Source organism: Homo sapiens, chromosome 16, assembly GCF_000001405.40.
Source record: "Homo sapiens chromosome 16, GRCh38.p14 Primary Assembly".
Lineage (NCBI taxonomy): Eukaryota > Metazoa > Chordata > Mammalia > Primates > Hominidae > Homo > Homo sapiens.
Genome location: NC_000016.10, coordinates 18,874,111 through 18,895,500, shown reverse-complemented (window position 1 = coordinate 18,895,500; position 21,390 = coordinate 18,874,111). Strand labels below are relative to the sequence as shown.

Sequence of the window (21,390 nt, the reverse complement as noted above, 5' to 3'; positions counted from 1 at the left end):
TTGTTGTTTTCAATATATTTTTTTGAGACAGTCTTGCTCTGTCACCCAGGCTGGAGCACAGTGCTGCAATCTCTGCTCACTGCAACCTCCGCCTCCCAGGTTCAAGTGATTCTCGTGCCTCAGCCTCCCAAGTAGCTGGGGTTACAGGTGCATGCCACCACACCCAGCTGATTTTTGCATTTTTAGTGGAGACAGGGTTTCACCATGTTGGCCAGGCTGGTCTCGAACTCCTGACCTCAAGTGATCACGCGTGCTCATTACAGGCGTGAGCCACCGGGCCCTGCCTAGAGTGGGCACTTTTCTAAAGTTAAATACACTGATAGCATTTCTGCCTTATGATGTAGCCTCACTGTATAGGTGAGTGCCTTGGAAGTTCAGAGGATTGGCCAGGTGCAGTGGCTCCTGCCTGTAATCCCAGCACTTTGGGAGGCTGAGACGGGCGGATCACGAGGTCAGGAGATCGAGACCATCCTGGCTAACACGGTGAAACCCTGTCTCTACTGAAAATACAAAAAATTAGCCGGGTGCGGTGGTGGGCGCCTGTAGCCCCAGCTACACGGGAGGCTGAGGCAGGAGACTGGCGTGAACCCGGGAGGTGGAGCTTGCAGTGAGCTTAGATCGCGCCACTGCACCCCAGCCTGGGCGACAGAGCGAGACTCTGTCTCAAAAAAACAACAACAAAAAAGAAAGTTCAGAGGATTGGAGGTAATGATAATTTTTTTCCTTAAAGAGAAATTTATCGGTAAAGCTGAGTTATGGGGCTTTGTCAGATGTAATTACTTTTTGGACATTTAGTTTTTGACTTTTTTTTTTTTTTTTTTAATACTGTGTGTGTGCTTTGTGTATCTTGGTGAAAATCTTTGTGCCTGTAGCTTTTATTGTTGGTATATAACTTTTAAAAAACTGATTTCTTTTTATGTTTTCACAAGTGGAATGAATTCAAAGGCTATGCTGTTTGTTAAAATAGAGTATTTGAAGCCTGAGACTTATGATATTATAGAAGCTAAACAGCGACTCTAAAGTAGTTCAGTAAACAATTCCTCTTCTTCAAAGGCTCAGGGTCATGTAGTTTGCTAGTGACAGAATTGTAAGTAGAGCCTAATTTCCCAGCTGGTAACTTGATGACATTTTTGGTATCTGTCCTTATTGAAATACTCTATGGGCTAGGGATTTGTAAAAACCCTATTCTTCTCTCAGACATTGTAGTTTCTTTTTTTTTAACTTTTAAGTTCAGGATACCAGTGCAGATTTGTTACATTGGTAAACTTGTGTCATGAGGGTTTGTAGTATAGATTATTTTATCACCCAGGTATTAAGCCTGGTACCCATTGGTTGTTTCTCTTGATCCTCTCCCTTCTCCCACCCCCTACCCTCCAAAAGGATCCAGTGTGTGTTGTTCCCCTTGTATTTATTTATTTATTTATTTATTTATTTATTTATTTATGAGATGGAGTATCTCCCTGTCACCCAGGCTGGAGTGCAGTGGCGCAATCTCAGCTCACTGCAGCCTCCACCTCCCAGATTAAAATGATTCTCCTGCCTCAGCCTCCCGAGTAGCTGGGATTACAGGAGCGCGCCACCACGCCCGGCTAATTTTTTGTATCTTCAGTAGAGACGAAGTTCCACCACGTTGGCCAGGCAGGTCTTAAACTCCTGACCTCGTGATCTGCCTTCCTCGGCCTCCCAAAGTGCTGGGATTACAGGTGTGAGCCACCATGCCCAGCCTTCTGGTTTCTTTTTTTACCAATGTTTTCTCATACCTTAGAAATGAAACTGTCAGACCCTTTGTGATTTGTTGTTTACGTATGTATTGGCTAATTATGGTAAATAGCACAGTTGAAAATGTTTTGCAAAAATTGAGGTTTTTTTTTGTTTTGTTTTTTGAGACAGTCTCGCTCTGTCACCCAGGCTGGAATGCACTAGTGTGATTTCACTGCAACCTTCGCTTCCCAGGCTAAAGCGATCCTCCCACCTCAGCCTCCTGAGTAGCTGGGATTACAGGCATGTGCCACTATGCCCAGCTAATTTTTGTATTTTTCGTAGAGATGGGGTTTTACCATGTTGCCCAGGCTGGTCTCGAACTCCTGGGCTCAAGTGATCTGCCTGCCTTGGCCTTCCAAAGTGCTGGGTAATTACAGGCAAGAGCCACCTCGCCCAGCAAAAATCTAGTTTTTAAAGGCATCTTTATTATACTCATAGTATTCACTATTGTTTGCTTGTTCTTGTGATTAAAAAATAAGGGGAGAAAAGTTGTGGTTTGCTACCTTTCTAGTGGAGGCATGCCTTGCATGTGGTAGATGATAATTAGACATTTGTTGAACTAAATGTGTGAAAACTTCATCCCAGGGAAATGATGATAATGTGAATAAGAGGCTTTCCTCCAGTGGGATACCTAGATGATAAGTAGAAGCCTATATCCTGTTTTTACTTGATTGAGACTTTATCCGTACCCCTTGGAAGTTGTTTAATTTACCTACACCCGGGCTCTTTACCTGCATGTTGAAAACAGTTTGGAATGGACCCAAAGAAAGTTGTTACTAAGGCCTTTCTTTTTTCTCTCCCAGCCAGTCCTCTGGATTGAGGTGTTCGGTTGGCCTAGGGTTATTCATTTCTTGTTTCCTTCAGCAAATATTTTTTTGAGGGTCTGTTATTTGCCAGGTACTCTGCTGGGATCTGGAATATAGAGATGAACAAAAGAGTGATAGGACCTATATTCCCTGAGCTTTTATTGACCAGTGGACTGTGACTTTTGATGTAATTTTATTTTTGAGAGAGGGTCTTGCTCTGTCACCCAGGCTGGAGTGCAATGGGGTGATCTTGGCTCACTGCAACCTCCGCCTCACGGGCTCCAGTGATTCTCCTGCCTCAGCCTCCCGAGTAGCTGGGACTACAGGTGCACACCACCTTGGCTGGCTAGTTTATGTAATTTTTTGTATGTCTGTGGAGACAGGGTTTCACCATGTTGCCCAGGCTGGTCTCAAACTCCTGAACTCAGGTGATCTACCCGCCTTCCAAAGTACTGGGATTACAGGCATGAGCCACCATAATAATTTAGTTATTATTTAAATAATTTTTAATTTGAAAAATTTAAAAATATCTTTGCTTATTTATACTCAATGGACAACAAAATGTTTATATATTCACAGAGAGATCGATGTCTTATTCTGATGAGTCTCGACTGTCGAATCTTCTTCGGAGGATCACCCGGGAAGACGACAGAGACCGAAGATTGGCTACTGTAAAGCAGTTGAAAGAATTTATTCAGCAACCAGAAAATAAGCTGGTAAGTATAGTATGTTTGGAAATATGAGGATTTTTGTGTTTCCATAATAAACTAGGTAATGCTACCTTGAGTAGTTTAAGAATGGGGAAAGTCTGTATTATGATGATCGAGAACTTAATGCTCTCTAATATGTAATTTCTTTTTCTTCTTAAAGACAAGATCTTGCTCTGTCGCCCAGGCTGGAGTGCAGTGGCACAATCATAGCTCACTGCAGTCTCAAACTCCTGGATTCAAGCTATCCTCCCACTGCAGCCTCCTGAGTAGCTGGGACTTCAGGCATGTTCCACTACACCTGGCTGAGGTGGAAGAATCACTTGAGCCCAGGAATTCAGGGTTGCAGTGAGATGTGATCACACCTCTGCATGTCAACCTGGGCGACAGAGGGAGTCCTTGTCTCTTAAAACAACAACAGAAATGTAACAAAGTATAGGAAGGGTTAAATTTTTTTCTTCACTTTCTTTACACCAATTAAGAACTTGATATGGGCCAGGTGTGGTGGCTCATGCCTGTAATCCCAGCATTTTGGGAGGCCAAGGCAGGCGGATCACCTGAGTTCAGGAGTTCGATACCAGCCTGCCCAACATAGTGAAGCCCCATCTCTACTAAAAAGACAAAGTTAGCTGGGCGTGGTGGCACATGCCCGTAATTCCAGCTACATGGGAGGCTGAGCAGGAGAATCGCTTGAACCCAGGAAACGGAGGTTGCAGTGAGCTGAGATCATGCCATTGCACTCCAGCCTGGGCAAAAAGAGTGAAACTCCATCTTGAAAAAAAAAAAAAAGAACTTGATAATGAGCAGGAGAAAATTAATGAAAATGGTCTAGTGAGGCAGATGACACTTGGATCAAAGCAAGTTTCTCCTCCTTCCAAATTTTATTATGAGAAGGTTCAAATATATAGCAAGTTGAAAGAATTTGACATTGAATCTGTTAAACCCGTCATCTAATTTTTGTCGTTAACATTTTACCCTAAATACTGCCTTGTCACATGTCTCTCCATCTATCCCTCCATCCATCAGTCAATTTTTCAAATGGATTTCAAAGTAAATAAAACAAGCTTTTTGAGTTTATTTTTTTGTTGATGATCACAGCTCTGTGTTTCCAGTGGGTGAATTTCTTTCATAGTCTGAAAGGAAACATGACATTCCTGATACATGCTCATTGGGGAGTGGGAATAATAAAGAAACTAAAGTACTGTTGAATTAGAATTTGGAGGGGAAGACAAGTAAAAAAGTACACAATGCTATTCTTAAAAGTATAGGAATTTGAAGTTTTTATAAATGTGTTTTCTTTTAAAGGTACTAGTTAAACAATTGGATAATATCTTGGCTGCTGTACATGACGTGCTTAATGAAAGGTAAGTAACTAATAATGGTTCAGTTTAAATGACTTTAAAATATATTTTTAGAAATTACTTAACAATACACAAGAAGACAAACCCACTGGCTTTGTTTATGAACATCTATTGACATTTCAGTGGGTCTTGTCATTTTTATCTGCATTAATTATGTGTTAATTACGGTTGAATACAAATGGAATCCACTTGAAAAGAATACTTTATTTATTTTTTGAGCCGGAGTCTCACCCTGTCGCCCAGGCTGGAGTGCAGTGGTGCGATCTCAGCTCACTGCAACCTCCACCTCTCGGGTTCAAGTGATTCTCCTGCCTCAGCCTCCCAAGTAGCTGGGACTACAGGTGTGCACCACCACTGCCAGCTAATTTTTGTATTTTTAGTAGAGACAAGGCGGAGCTTGCAGTTTCACCATGTTGGCCAGGCTGGTCTCAAACTCCTGACATCAGGTAATCCACCCACCTTAGCCTCCCAAAGTGTTGGGATTACAGGCATGAGCCACTGTGCCTGGCTGGAATATTTTATTTTTTTTAATTTGCTAGTCTCACTGGATAACCGAGTCTTGACTTATGGAATGGCATAAACTCTTGATGCAGGCATGAATGAATAAAATTAGTTTTTGTAAACTAGAGAATTTGAAACTGCTTGGAGAATAGAGGTAAAAAGGAGTTTCCTTCTTTGGGTAAGAGTGGATCCAAATCATATATTCTCTGGCTATTAGAATCTCCAGAGGTGTGTGGTCATTTCTTGTTATGGTGATTCCCAAAGATTTGCAGTGTTGGCAAGTACCCAAAATTTATCTCAGCTGGTCATAAACCTTAGTGCCTTTTGATGGTTTTATTTTATAGAGTTACTCATTACTGTTATCCTTTTAAGTTTCTGTATTTAACTATTACCATTTTTTATTTTATAGTCATTACATATTGGATATTATGTAGAATGTAGTTATGTATAGTGTGTTTTATCTAATTATTTGTTGCTGCCCTTTTCTGAGAGTTATTTAATACAGTTTGAGATGGAATTTAGCATTTTTGGGCCTTCCCTCACTGTTTGTAAATAATTGATTTTGTAAAAAGAAAGTAATATCAGACAGATACTTGAGGGCAATGCAGGCTAGACAGACTGTAGTATTTAGAGTGGAGAAAATTTCAACCTTTTATGTAGTTTGAATAGAAATTTAAAAAACCACTTAAGACATTCTTTTGTAAGATGTATTACTCGTGTCATCATAGAAAACTTAAGCCTTTTGTGTGTGTTTTTTGTTTGCATTAAAATAAACACAGTAGCAAATTGCTTCAGGAGTTGAGACAGGAGGGAGCTTGCTGTCTTGGCCTTCTTTGTGCTTCTCTGAGCTATGAGGCTGAGAAGATCTTCAAGTGGATTTTTAGCAAATTTAGCTCATCTGCAAAAGATGAAGTTAAACTCCTCTACTTATGTGCCACCTACAAAGCACTAGAGACTGTAGGAGAAAAGAAAGCCTTTTCATCTGTAATGCAGGTAAGAATGAAGGGGGAAAAATGCATGATGTACTTGGGAAGAAAATTGTCCCTTAACACATGTCCTTGGAGGGGAGCTTGAAGAAGGGAAACATAGAATAGGGGTTATCTACTGATAGGAAATATGTTTTAAAAATTCCTCTTTCTCAGTTTGAGTAAAGGATACACTGTTCAAGGATCAGTGCTACATACATATATGCATATATGTGGAGAAAGAGGGAGAGATTTCTTCTAAGAAATTGGCTTACACGCCAGGTGCGGTGGCTCACGCCTGTAATCCCAGCACTTTGGGAGGCCGAGGCAGGCGGATAATGAGGTCAGGAGATCGAGACCATCCTGGCTAACATAGTGAAACCCCATATCTACTAAAAATACAAAAAAAATTAGCCAGGCGTGGTGGTGGGCACCTGTAGTCTCAGCTAATTGGGAGACTGAGGCAGGAGAATGCCGTGAACCTGCGAGGCGGAGCTTGCAGTGAGTCGAGATCACGCCACTGCACTCCAGCCTGGGCAACAGAGTGAGACTGTGTCTCAAAAAAAAAAAAAAAAAAAAGATACATGTTGAAGTTAGATTTGAAATAAGTTAGTTTTAAGATTTTTTTCCTCAGCCAAGCGTGGTGGCCTATATGCCTATAATCCCAGCACTTTGGGAGGCCGAGGTGGAAACATCATGAGGTCAAGAGATCGAAACCATCCAGGCCAACATGGTGAAACCCCGTCTCTACTAACAATACAAAAATTAGCCAGGCATGGTGGCACGCGCCTGTAGTCCCAGCTACTCAGGAGGCTGAGGCAGGAGAATCGCTTGAACCTGGGAGGCCGAGGTTGCAGTGAGCCGAGATCACACCATTGCCTGGGCAACAGAGCCAGACTCTGTCTCAAAAAAAAAAAAAAAGGATTTTTTTCCTCTTTGGTTTTTAGAAATGTTTTTTTGAGATTGCTTAGGACCAGAATGATTTGCAAATTTGAAAATAGGAACTCCACTAGGAATGCTGGATAGAAGAGTGCTTCACATTTGTAGAGGGAGACAAGAACTAAATATCACAACTTCTTTCTGAGCCTTTTGGTTTGCTAACGTGCCCCAAATTCTTATTCCAAATGGTATAAGATAATTATGTGTAAATGAATACCAGCTCTACTTAGTTTTATTTCACATTTGTGTATCTGAATATATTAGAACATCATTCCTTTTTTTTTTTTTTTTTTTTTGATGCAGAGTCTTGCTCTGTTGTCCAGCCTGGAGTGCAGTGGCATGATCTCGGCTCACTGCAACTTCTGCCTCCCAGGTTCAAGTGATTCTCCTGCCTCAGCCTCCCGAGTAGCTGGTATTACAGGAGTGTGCCACTAGCCTGGCTAAGTTTTGTATTTTTGATAGAGATGGGGTTTCGTTGTGCTGGCCATGCTGGTCTTGAACTCCTGACCTCAAGTGATCCTCCTGCCTCGGCCTCCCAAAGTATTGGGATTACTGTCATGAGCCACCACACCTGGCCTAAAAGATCATTGATTTAGTTTTGAGTAAGATTTTAAGTGATTAAATTATAGTATTGATGTGTTCGGAATATCTGATATTAGGGTTTTTTTTTTTTTTTTTTTTTTTTTTTTTTTTTTTTTACTGTTTTTGATATGCTTTATTTTGGGTATGTAGTTTAAAAAATATAAAGGAAATATAAGGAATGTTCTTTTTTTTTTTTTTTTTTTTTTAAATAAAAAGTGTATTTTTAACTGGGCATGGTGGCTCACTCCTGTAACCCCAGCACTGTGGGAGGCTGAGGCTGGTGAATCGCCTGAGTCCAGGAGTTTGAGACCAGCCTGGGCAACATGGTGAAACCCTGTTTCTATTAAAAAAAAAAAAAAAAAGGAAAAAAAAATAAGTCGGGCGTGGTGGCATGCACCTGTAGTCCCAGCTACTTGGAGGCTGAGGCAGGAGGATTGCTTGTGCCTGGGAGGTTGAGGCTACAGTGAGCTATGGTCAAGCTACTGCACTCCATTATAGGCAACCCTATCTCAAAAAAACAAAACAAAACATTTTTCCCCTTGATTATAGAGGTTTGAGAAAAATTTGAGGGAAGATTCAGAAAATTACCTGTAACTAAACAGAATGCCACCAGCTCGGGCTTATTCTGCATGCACAATTATGAACATTTTCCCAGCTCTTGTGAAAATTCTCACATTCATAGAAAGATAGATGCACCAGTATTAAATAAATACCTGTAAATATGATAATAATTTCATAATATATGCTTCACCTAGATTTACCAGTTACTAATATTTTGCCACAGTTTTATTTTCTCACACACTTTGTTGAGCATCTGAAAACCATACACATGATGACAGTTCACCCCATAATGTTTTAGTATGCATCTCCCAAGAATAAGGTTTTTCTTCTGTATAACAGGAATATTGTAATCATACCTAAGTAAATGAATTTTATTACATATGTGTTCTATATTCAAATTTCTGTAATTACCCCTAAGATGTCTTTTAAATGATTTTTAGCATTGATAGTCTGTGCCTGTGTAGATTATAACATTGGCTATTGCAAAATAATGGTTTTCTTTTTCTCTTTTTTTTTGAGACATAATCTTGCTCTGTTGTCCAAGCTGGAGGGCAGTGGCACGATCTCGGCTCACTGCAACCTCCGCCTCCCAGGTTCAAGCAGTTCTCTTGCTTCAGCCTCCTGAGTAGCTGGGATTACAGGCATGTGCCACTGTGCTCTGCTAATTTTTATATTTTTAGTAGAGACGGAGTTCATCATGCTGGCCAGGCTGGTCTTGAACTCCTGACCTCAAGTGATCCACCTGCCTCGTCCTCCCAAAGTGTTGGGGTTACAGGTGTGAGCCACTGCACCCAGCCTAAAATGATGGTTTTCTGATTCTAGCATTTCTTTTATAAGATTGCTATGTAAAGCAGAGCTTTTCCTTTTTTAGGGAAAAATGTTTTCTAACAGCTGCAAAATAAATATTCTTTCAATGGAATGACAAATAATGATTTATTATTTTATTTTTGCCCTATATTTATTTTAAAAATTTATGTATAATGGTAACCTGAGCCTGCATGTTATTTATGTGTGGTCCCATACTGATCTTCTTTAATTTTAATATGAAGCAAGTACTAATATACTAAAGCATAGATTATATAAAATTTGCTTTATATTTCGGATTGCAAAGTAATTGTTGTACTTTATAGAAAAGTTTCCCAAATCCATTTTACTTTTTTGTATTTGAAATTTAATCACAGGTAGAATCTTAAAGAGAGCATTTAGGGATATTGTAAACAGATGTTATTAAGGACTAATGTTAACTGATGTCAAAGGACTAATATTAACAAACATTGAAGAAGAGAAAACAGTATTTGTTTTTAGCTTAACATCTTAGTGGAGTGAAATATTTTCAATTTATTTTATTTATTTATTAATTATTATTTTTTTTGAGATGGAGTCTGGCTGTATTGTCCAGGCTGGAGTGCAGCAGTGCAATCTCAGCTCACTGCAACCTCTGCCTCCTGGGTTCAAGCGATTCTTGTGTCTCAGCCTCCCAGGTAGTTGGGATTTACAAGTCAATTTTTTTTTTTTTTAACTAAAACTACAGAATCTATTTTTCTTGGTCTCATATTCAGTTTTTTATGTAGTCAGTAAATAATGAACCTAATTTGCTTGTTTTCTCCCTATTTTGTTGAATGTTCACGGTTTGTAACTTTTTATTTTTAAGCTTGTAATGACCAGCCTGCAGTCTATTCTTGAAAATGTGGATACACCAGAATTGCTTTGTAAATGTGTTAAGTGCATTCTTTTGGTGGCTCGATGTTACCCTCATATTTTCAGCACTAATTTTAGGGTGAGTTCCTCATTCCGCTTTTCAGATCATGGGGTGAGGGGGATGGTTGTGTGTGTGAGGATCTGAGGAAACAGATGGAAAACAATGCCTCAGCTCCTTTGAATATAATCAGTGATATTTGAGGTTCCAGGGTTAAATACCGCATTTTTCTTTCTGACATTCATACCTTAAAATATTTGAAGAAAATAAACTATTTCATTGTTGTCAGAAATGTAGTTCTTTTATTTTCCTGCCCCTCTCCCCTTTCTAAGTTTCTAGAATGTCAAGTAGGTAGAACATAGATGCTCCTTTTAGGATCTTTTGCTGTGAAATGGTCCACAGGTGAATGGCAGTAATATCTTAAAATGATTGGCCCCCTCTCTCTTTGTTTCCATCAAGGATACAGTTGATATATTAGTTGGATGGCATATAGATCATACTCAGAAACCTTCGCTCACGCAGCAGGTATCTGGTAAGTCTTGCAGCCTATACCAGTTATTTAAATACTGTCGGGGAGGAGCAGTGGTCCCCCAGTGACCATCTATCAATACCATTTCTTTAATAATGCAAGAAAACTAATTCAGAGAAATGTTTTATTGTAAATGAACATTACTTGTTAGCTAAATATGTATTTTCAGAGGAAATTACTAGTAGGTGGGTACAGTAAGTACAGACAGGACTTACCCAAGTTATTTGTAGTTTGTACTGGTAGGAAAGTGTATGGTAAGAATATATTGTAGTGGCAATACCCTGAAGTGGACAATGGAAGATCCAAGTTATTTGTCACATTTTATTGTTTTTCTGGTAATTTTTTTAAAAAAGGAAATACAGGGTTAATTTGGAGAATTGTCATAAATGAGAAATGGTTTTGTTTCCCATTTTTTTGGAGTTTAAGTGAATGACTAACGTGGCTCATTTGCACATTTCAGTTTGTTTCAAGTGTCATAGTTTCTCGTAACTTACATGGTGTAATAAACTTTTGAAAATAGGATATTCAGGTGATAGTGGCCTGTTTCATTTTCACTGAGGAGATGAGTATACACCTTTAATGGTTAGATGTGGCCCTGGGATTAGCTGGGCCAATGGTAGATTGTGGCAGTTTAGTCTTAAGTCATGTGTAGTGACAATATAGATATGAAATTTACTGAAAAAGTAAGGAAATAACATTTACCTGTTAATTTCTGCAGAAATTAAAGAGGTATTAATTAAAGAGGTATTGGTTAATTGTGATCAGCATGTTTAACAGTCTTAATTTTATGATATAGGACATGTTTTAGGGTATGCTGCTTGAAAACCAGATACCTCTTAAAACAAGCCTCTTATTTTTTTTTAATTTGGATTTTTTGGTGTTTTTTTCCCCCCTACCCTTTCACAATTTCTTATACGATTCCAAGGGTGGTTGCAGAGTTTGGAGCCATTTTGGGTAGCTGATCTTGCATTTTCTACTACTCTTCTTGGTCAGTTTCTGGAAGACATGGAAGCATATGCTGAGGTGAGTATATAGAAAGCTGTTTCTTAAAATTTTGGTTAAGAAAAAATCTTAAATTGTGCTAGATTTATTTTAAAATGGCTCAGACCTCCTGACATTTAAGCAGAAATTACATGCCCATTGCAATATTTTAAACATTTTTTTTTTTTTTTTTGAGATGGAGTCTCGCTCTGTCACCCAGGCTGGAGTGCAATGGCACGGTCTCGGCTCACTGCAACCTCCACCTCCTGGGTTCAAATGATTCTCCTGCCTCAGCCTCCCGAGTAGCTGGAATTACAGGTGCCCGCCACCATGCCCAGCTAATTTTTGTATTTTTAGTAGAGACAGGGTTTCACCATGTTGGCCAGGCTGGTCTCAAACTCCTGACCTCAGGTGATCCACCCGCATCGGCCTCCCAAAGTGCTGGGATTATAGGCGTGAGCCCCCGTGCCCAGTCAATATTTTAAACATTTATTTCAGATGTGTTTAAGTTACCAGGAGAATTACTGGAGAGACTAAAAGAAACGTTGCAAGCTTCGTATTTCGCAAAGCTTTACATACTCTTGGTAGCTGGTATTTTTCTAAAGACATTTTTTGTTATTTATTTTTATTTTTTGTTCCCGGTCTTCAGAGTCTTAAAGCAAATTGATGTGGTGTTATAAAAAAACACAAAACACCAAAAGCCCCTAAAGATTTTCCTCTTACATATGTACAGGAGATCTTGAATCGTACTTTGGAGGACAAGCCTTGGCTTTAGCCAGCTTTTGTGGCTGTACGAATATAGCATAGGAGCTTTAAGAGCGCTGCTGAAGCCTCTGTTACTGGCACTTGGCTTTTCTGGCCCCACTGTCGTGGCTTAACTCTGTGCCATCTCTTATCTGAATCTCTTTGTGTTTCTCCCCTATTCAGATCAACCAATCAAGGCTCCCATAAAGATTTTAGCCTCATTTTGTTTTTTTCATCTTTGCTGCTTGTAGTCGACAGGAATTCAGTACCTTTAGCTGTACTGATTTGTTTACTCTTTCCTAGAAAAGCAAGGAAGTGTTTCGCTTCTGTGTTGTTTTTTCTTTGCCCCCACACCTAGAACGTCTTTTTTTCACAGCCCACGTTTAAAGCTGATTTACCTCTCATAAGCCACACATTCTAGTTTGTAGAGATGCTTCCCCTTGTTATCCTTAAGATCTCATTCTCTTCTGTTATTTTGCTGCTTAATTTTAGGTAGATGCATACATTGGTTCTAGTATCCCAGTTTTTGCGAATCTTGTCCTTTTCATATATCGTACTTCTTCAATTACACATCTGTAGACCAGGTCTTGTAATCTCCCTTTGCTCTTCATGTGCATGCTCTTGGTTTGGAGGACTTACTGTTGAGCTGAGTGGCTCAAAGAATACCTAGAATGAGATTTTTAGCCAAAAACTAATTCAGGAGTGGCAAAAGCTTCCGTCTTCATTTATACCTACATATAACTAGAGCATATGTGCTAGAATTTATTTTTCCCTAACAGCTTTCTGAGTTGATTTAAGAGATTATTTCTTTAATTTGTTGTCTGTTGGGTTTAATGTTGGCTTTTTGAAATAATTAGGTAAAACCCATTTTTATATTTAGAGTCATGAATATTCTCATGGGCCACAGTTCTCTTTCTAAAAGCCTAAAAATCTATTCTAAAATGAATTGATTGAAATATTTTAGAGTTTTTTTTTTTTTTATTTAAAACAATGTACTACTTATTAAGAATGCTGTGAATTCACATCTAGGACCTCAGCCATGTGGCCTCTGGGGAATCAGTGGATGAAGATGTCCCTCCTCCATCAGTGTCATTACCAAAGCTGGCTGCACTTCTCCGGGTATTTAGTACTGTGGTGAGGAGCATTGGGGAACGCTTCAGCCCAATTCGGGGTCCTCCAATTACTGAGGCATATGTAACAGATGTAAGTGCTTTTGGGCATTTCAAGTGTCATTCAAAAATAAAATTGTTTTACACTGTAAATGCTTCTCTTTACCTGGTGAACTGTTATTAATCCTTCATTTGTTTAGCATGTATGTATGTATGTATATATGTATATATTGTCTGACTGTTTTCTTGAATAACTAGAAAAGTAGGGAATCCTGTTACATCTCATCCTCCTTTCATCCAACTCCCCTACCCTCCCATGACAAAAGGCCACTCTGAATTTTTAAATCTTATTCTTTCGTTTTTAAATAATATTTATTATAATTTTACTTTTAAATTATTGGGTTTCCTTTTAGTTTTTCAGCATACTACGAATAGCACACTATAGGAAAAGCCTCAGAAAGTAATCTTCTCTGAACATAAGATGGAACTCATATGAAAACTTGTATACCTTTATATTCTTTGATAGCCTGATATCAAAGAACATAAACAAATTAAAAATGAGGTAGCTAGCTTGCCACACTTCAGCAGCCTCAAACATTAGCTGCACTGTATGTAGCACATCCAATGAGGGTTCAGTGGAAAAGACACAAGAAATGAACCCCAGGCATTGTACTCTGCTTTGAATAAGGAGAAAGAAGCATGTGTGATATAGTCATAAAAGATTTAATCGAACTGATGAAAATTTTACTGTTAGGATAAAACTTGCTTTTAGGAGCATATACTTTTGCTGAACACGTTGCTAGATAAAATAGGATATTGATTATGTAGATATATAAAATTTTTAGTAAGTTGCGTACTTGAGCAGAAATGTCAGAACTTAAATGAAACCAGCATATTGGTATTTTAAACCAATATGGTTTCAAAATGGTTTAATATCTTTGCTTCATTTTTAATATCTAAAAGGTGGTTGTTTGAAGACTGTACAGAGTTGAAATAAAAAGCCATTACTTCAGACATAAAATAAAAGGGACATAATTTATAGGATAGGTGTATATTGATTTATGAGGATCTTTTAGGCCTTTGAGAATGGTAGAATGGTGGTTTTTTTTTTTTAAATTTAATTTAATTTAATTTTTTTTTGGAGCTAGAGCCTCACTCTGTCACCCAGGCTGGAGTGTAGTAGAGCAATCATAGCTCACTGTAATCTTGAACTCCTGGGCCCATATGAACCTCCCACCTCACTCAGCCCTACAAGCGAGTGTCACCATACCCAGCTTTTTTTTTTTTTTTTCTTTTTAAAGTGGGGTGGTGCCATCACGACTCAGTGCAGTCTCTATCTCTTGGGCTCAAGTGATCTTCCCACTATAGCTCCTGCTAATTTTTTATTTTTGTAGAGATGGGGTCTCAGTGTTTCCCAGGCTGGTCTTGAACTTTTGGCCTCAAGCAGTCTTCCCACCTCAGCCTCCCAAAGTGTTGGGATTATAGACATGAGCCACTGTGCATGGCCAAGAATGCTTCCCCCTCCGCGCCCCCCCCCTTTTTTTTTTGGAGACATGGTCTCTGTTGCCCACGCTGGAGTGCAGTGGCACGATCTTGGCTCACTGCAGCCTTGACCTCCCAGGCTTAAGTGATCCTCCCACCTCAGCCTCTCAAGTAGTTGGGACTACTGGTGCGAGCCACCATGCCCAACTAATTTAAAAACAAATTTAGTAGAGATGAGGTGTTGTTATGTTGACATGGCTGGTCTCAAACTCCTGGACTCAAGAGAACCTTCCAGCTAATCCTGTCAAAGTGCTAGGATGATAGATATGAGTCACTGTGCCTAACCTCCAAGGATACTTTTAATGAAAACTATGGGTAGACTAAATAAAATCCTGTATGTATTGGTTGTTAAATATTATAGAAATATTTTTTAACATTTGCTCTGTTTTCTCCCCTATTTTATTAGAAATTTAGTACACAATTATTGGCCATTATAGTTAAGTGGGGGATTTTGTTTGTGTGTGTATTGGAAATAATATGATTTTTGAAGGTATTTTGTGGTAAGCATGAGAGTGCTTATCTTTCAAAAGAGACCATCAGTAGATAGAAACTTTAATAAGCTTAAAGTGACTTGTCTGTTTAGTTTTAAAAGATTGATTCCCAAAAGCCCAAGAGCTAGCTTGTAGTATGTGTGGGCAGGCTATTCCCATGCTGTCAATACCATTACTGTTGTGGTGGTGTATTTCATGATAAAGATTCTGAGCTTCCGCCATTTAGTGACATTGGGAGAAACGAAGTTGGGTATATGGGAAATAGAGGATGGCAGATTCCATTTCCTGTCATAATAGCACTTTAGGATTTTTTAGCCAAGATCATGTTTACATACTGTACTAAAGATATCATTATTATTCAACTACTGAGAACTAGAATATTAAGAGACTGCTGGCAAGGCAAGCAGTTAATTTTCAGTTGAAATTGCATTAAATAAAAAGTATTTTCTTGCTTTGTGGAAGCACGTGAATTTTTTTAAAAAGCTGCTTGTTTTCCCCATTTACAGGTTCTGTACAGAGTAATGAGATGTGTGACGGCTGCAAACCAGGTGTTTTTTTCTGAGGCTGTGTTGACAGCTGCTAATGAGTGTGTTGGTGTTTTGCTCGGCAGCTTGGATCCTAGCATGACTATACATTGTGACATGGTCATTACATATGGATTAGACCAACTGGAGAATTGCCAGACTTGTGGTACCGATTATATCATCTCAGTCTTGAATTTACTCACGCTGGTATGTGAATTATTCTTTTCCTTTTTAATGTGTTGGTTTATTCAGGCCCTTAAATCGATATGTAAGAAATTAAGGGCTTTGTCTGGGCATGGTGGCTCATGCTTGTAATCCCAGCACTTTGGGAGGCCAAAGCAGAAGGATTGCTTGCATCCAGGAATTCTGGCACAGCTTGGGCAATGTAGTGAGACCCCATCTGTACAAAAAGTCAAAAATTAGCTTGGTGTAGTGGCGTGCACCTGTAGTCCTAGCTACTCGGGAGGCTGAGGGAGGAGGATCGATTAAGCCCAGGAACTTGAGGTTGAAGAGAGCTCTGATTGTGCCACTGCACTCAGCCAAGGTGACAAAAAAAGGCCCTGTCTCCAAAAAAGAAAAAAAAATAAGGGCTTTGCTTTATTATATTATTTTCTTAGAGTACATTCATCAGTTATAATCTGTGCTTTCATTTTAGTGTCTATTTACTTTTATTTTTAATGCAATTTTTTTTTGAGACAGGGTCTCACTCTGTTGCACAGGATGAAGTGCAGTGGCATGATTTTGGCTCACTGCAGCCTTGACCTCTTGGGCTCAGGTGATCCTCCCACCTCAGCCCCCCAGGTAGCTAGGACTACAGGCGTGCGTCACCACACCTGGCTAATTTTTTGTATTATTTTGTAGAGATGGAGTTTTGCCATGTTACCCAGGCTGGTCTTGAATTCTTGGGCTCAAGCAATCCACCTGCCTTGGCCTCCCAAAGTACTGGGATTATAGGTATGAGCCACTCTACCAGGCCTCTATTTTTACTGGTTGATAGCTAGTCTCAGTGTAGCTTTACTTGTGTTTTTTGAGGAAACATTGCTCTATGCACCAGATTCTTTCTTTTTTTTCTTTTCTTTTCTTTTTTTTTTTTTTGTCACAGGATCTTGCTGTATTCCCCTGGTTGGAGTGCAGCGGTACAATCAGAGCTCACTGCAGCCTCAAACTCCTGGGCTCAAGTGATCTTCCCACTCAGCCTCCCGACTATCTGGGACTACAGATGCATGCCACCATGCCTGGCTAACCTTTGTATTTTTTGGAGAGAAGGGGTCTCACTACATTGTCTAGGCTGGCCTCAAATTCTTGGTCTCAAGTAATCCTCCTGCCTTGCCCTCCCAAAGTGCTGGGATTACAGGTGTGAGCAATCATGCCTGGCCTCCTTTAATTTCTTTTTTTTTTTTTTGTTGAGACGGAGTCTCGCTCTTTTGCCCAGGCTGGAGTGCAGTGGTGCAATTGTATTTTTAGTACAGACGGGGTTTCACCATGTTAGCCAGGATGGTCTCGATCTCCTGACCTCGTGATCTGCCTGCCTTGGCCTCCCAAAGTGCTGAGATTACAGGCGTGAGCCACCGCGCCCGGCTGGCCTCCTTTAATTTCTTAACCATAAATATCCTCCCCTCACTTTTATTATGGACATTCTGAAGCACATAAAAATAGGGAGCATAGTATAATAAATTTGTACATATTTAACACTCAGCTTCTATAATTAGAAACAAATGGCCCATCTGGTTTCATCTAGGCCTCTTTGCTATCCTTTCATCTCCAACTGGAGTATTTTAAAGCAAATTCTAGATGACATTCTGCTGAGCATTTCTGCCAGAATTACACCTCTTTTTACTAATGTGAAAAAATGCCCATGATAACTGTAAAATACGTGTGTCCTATTTAGGTGTCTAAACACTTTAATGTCACAGTATTAAGGCCTTAAAATATAGCTTAGATATATTTTTCTAAATTAAAAGACTATTTTTTAGATATACAGAAAATTGAGCAGAAAACAATGAGTTCCCATATACCTTCTTCATCCCAACAGTTTCCCCCTCATTAACATATTGTGTTAGTGTGGTACATTTATTACAAAGGAGCGAATATGGATATATTATTATTAACTAATTTTATAGTTTACTTTGTGTTATGTATTCTATGGACTTTAACATGTGTAATGACATGTATCCCCTATTACCAGTATCATACAGGATAGTTTCACTTCCCTAAAAATCTTTTATGTTCCACCCACTCCTTCCTCGTTCCCTCTCCCCACTCCTCCCTCCCTCCATCTTAAGCCCATGGCAATCCCTGATCTTTTTACTGTCTCCGTCGTTTTGCCTTTTCCAGAATGCCATGTAGTTGGAGTCATATAGTATGTAGCCTTTTCAATTGGCTTCTTTCACTTATCAGTGTGCATTTAAGGTTTCTCCATGTCTTTTTGTAATTGGAGAAGCTCATTTTTTAAAAATTTTATTCTTTTAGATTGTTGAACAGATAAATACGAAACTGCCATCATCATTTGTAGAAAAACTGTTTATACCATCATCTAAACTACTATTCTTGCGTTATCATAAAGAAAAAGAGGTAAGTAATACATTGATAATGAATTTTGACAACTTGAGTCACTGAAGAGTTGGACCTAATGTTGCTTACCAGGCTGTATAAGTGAAATTGAGTGAAATGTGAAATGTTTGATTTAGAATATAGTGATTGTATTTGTTCTTTTAAGTTTGTATTTCTTGAGAATCATACTGAATACTTTCATGAATGATGTGCCAGATACTCTTTTCAGACTATGCATCTTTTGCTGTTATTAAATTTATTATAAATTTATTATAAATTTAAATTTTCATAAGGGTAAAACAAGTTGACACATTTATAACGTTATAAATTAAGAAGTACTGTATATTTTGTAAACAAAAATGACTGGCTTTTCAACCACCCCCTAGTCAAATCCACCACAGACTTTCCTGGTAGATTTAAGAAACCCAGTCTTAAACTGCTGTTTGCATATGTCTTCTGATGTTGATTATTTAAAAAAAAAAAAAAACGGCCATTTCGGAAATTTCATATTGACAGTTTTCATTTATAGTACTCTGTATTTGTGATAAAACTTTATAGACTTGAAATAGCATACTGATCTGTGTCAGTTTTCTGACTGGTTTTTAAAAAGTTAAAATATTAAGTGCTACGGACAGTGAATTGATCGATCTTAAATTTATTTGTATCGTCAGCACTAATACAGATAGTGATTTATTTTCCATATAATTTTAGAAGATTTATTTTCCATTTATCACTTCCTTGAATTTTTTGTTTTTCAGGTTGTTGCTGTAGCCCATGCTGTTTATCAAGCAGTGCTCAGCTTGAAGAATATTCCTGTTTTGGAGACTGCCTATAAGTTAATATTGGGAGAAATGACTTGTGCCCTAAACAACCTCCTACACAGTCTACAACTTCCTGAGGCCTGTTCTGAAATAAAACATGAGGCTTTTAAGAATCATGTGTTCAATGTAGACAATGCAAAATTTGTAGTTATATTTGACCTCAGTGCCCTGACTACAATTGGAAATGCCAAAAACTCACTAATAGGGGTGAGTCTTTAATTGTAATGACTTTGTTTTATCCACAGTTAAGCCTTTTCTCATTACATATTTATGTATTTCACTGTCATGTCAAGATGTCTGCAGAATCACTGTGTGTAACAAACAGCCATATTTAAGACATGCCTGGATAAATAAAATTGGTAGGAATGTTTTCTTGGCATTATATTTAACTTTTCTTCTTCTTTTTCCTTGACAAATCTTGATAAGTTTTTTTATATTAGTTTTATTTTCTAGAAAATGTCTTATGAATTTCTCCTATTTGCTCTAGCATGCTTATAGAAAATGTCAGTGTTTCTTACAGCTCAAATTTGTGTAGTTGTTTTAAAATGCGGTCTCTTTCTTCTTCCCCTGGTACTTTTTTCTTTCTGTCTACTGAAGTTAGTTCTTATACATGGTCTTATATTTTGGCTGTCTCTTTTCCCTAGGAACATTCATACAGGTTGAATATTCCTTATCTGAAATACTTGGGACTGGAAGTGTTTTGGATTTTGGATTTTGGAATACTTTTTTTTTTTTTTTGGAGATGGGGTTTTACTCTTGTTGCCCAGGCTGGAGTGCCATGGCGCGATCTTGGCTCGCTGCAACCTCCGCCTCCCGGGTACAAGCGATTCTCCTGTTTCAGCCTCCCAGGTAGCTCGGATTACAGGCATGCACCACCATGCCTGGCTAATTTTTTTGTATTTAGTAGAGATGGGTTTTCACCATGTTAGCCGGGCTGGTTGTGAACTCCTGACCTCAGGTGATCCACCTGCCTTGGCCTCCCAAAATGCTGGGATTACAGGTGGGCACCACCATGCCCAGCCGGATTTTGGAGTATTTTCATAACACTTACTGGTGAGCATCCCTAATCTGAAAATCCTAAATCTAAAATGCTCCAAAATTTGAAACTTTTTGAGCACCAGTATGATGCCCCAAGTGGAAAATCCCACACCTGATCTCATGTGATGAGTCCAAACTGTTGTATGCACAAAATTATTTAAAATATTGCATAAAATGACCTTCAGGCTATGAATAGAAGGTGTCTATGAAACATAAGTGAATTTCGTGTTTAGACTTGGGTCCCATCCTCCACATATCTCATTTTATATATATGCAAGTATTCTCAAATCCAAAAATATACAAAGTCTGAAACACTTCTGGTCCCAAGCATTATGAATGAGGGATACTCAACCCGTAGTCCTTCTTTTAGGGGAAAAAAAAAAAAAAAAGGCTTTTTTTTTTTTTTTTTTTTTTTTTTTTTTTTTTGAGACAGAGTCATGCTGTTGTCGCCTGGGCTGGAGTGCAGTGGTGCAATCTCGGCTCACTGCCACCTCTGCCTCCCGGGTTCCAGCAATTCTCCTGCCTCAGCCTCCCGAGCAGCTGAGATTACAGACACCTACCACTACGACGGGCTAATTTTTGTATTTTTAGTAGAGACTTGGTTTCACCATGTTGGCCAGGCTGGTCTCAAACTCCTGACCTCAGGTGATCCACCCGCCTCAGCCTCCCAAAGTGCTGGAATTACAGGCGTGAGCCACCGCGCCCAGCCTGCTTTTTTTTTTTTTTTTTTTTAAGTAATTCGACATGGCCCTGCTCTTGATTTGTATTTATTGTTTATGGTTTGTGTATTTCTTCTTCCTATTGGACCACACAGAGTTGAAAAACATTCTTTTTAATAGAAAGTAATAGGTGTGGGCTGGGCACGGTTGCTGACACCTGTAAACCCAGCACTCTGGGAGGCCAAGTCGGGCTGATCACTTGTGGTCAGGAGTTTGAGACCAGCCTGGCCAACATGGTGAAACCTCGCCTCTACTAAAAATAGAAAAATTAGCCAGGGGTGGTGGTGCACACCTGTAATCCTAGCTACTTTGGAGGCTAAGTTGGGAGAATTGCTTGAACCCAGGAAGTGGAGGTTGCAGTGAGCTGAGATCACACCACTGCACTCCAGTCTGGGCGACAGAACCAGACTCTGTCTCAAAAGAAAAAAAACACAAAGAAAGAAAGTAATGGACATAATTAGGG

General features: G+C 39.0%; 1 protein-coding gene and 1 pseudogene across 14 annotated transcripts in view; both read left to right on the top strand.

Moving 5' to 3' along the window:
* The window catches only part of SMG1 (SMG1 nonsense mediated mRNA decay associated PI3K related kinase), a 121,549-nt gene that overhangs the window by 30,908 nt on the left and 69,251 nt on the right, over positions 1 to 21,390 (top strand). For 12 of the 14 annotated variants that reach the window (XM_047433796.1, XM_005255184.5, XM_047433793.1 and 9 more), the window contains 10 exons: positions 3,147 to 3,283; positions 4,580 to 4,638; positions 5,916 to 6,129; positions 9,835 to 9,960; positions 10,339 to 10,411; positions 11,334 to 11,431; positions 13,163 to 13,336; positions 15,782 to 16,006; positions 18,269 to 18,370; positions 19,108 to 19,377. In XM_047433796.1, coding sequence (XP_047289752.1) covers positions 3,147 to 3,283; positions 4,580 to 4,638; positions 5,916 to 6,129; positions 9,835 to 9,960; positions 10,339 to 10,411; positions 11,334 to 11,431; positions 13,163 to 13,336; positions 15,782 to 16,006; positions 18,269 to 18,370; positions 19,108 to 19,377 — 1,478 coding nt within the window. The other 2 variants (XM_011545770.2, XM_017023067.2) reach the window with 2 other exon arrangements.
* Positions 19,579 to 20,608, top strand: LOC100996247 (putative uncharacterized protein encoded by LINC00269; annotated as a pseudogene).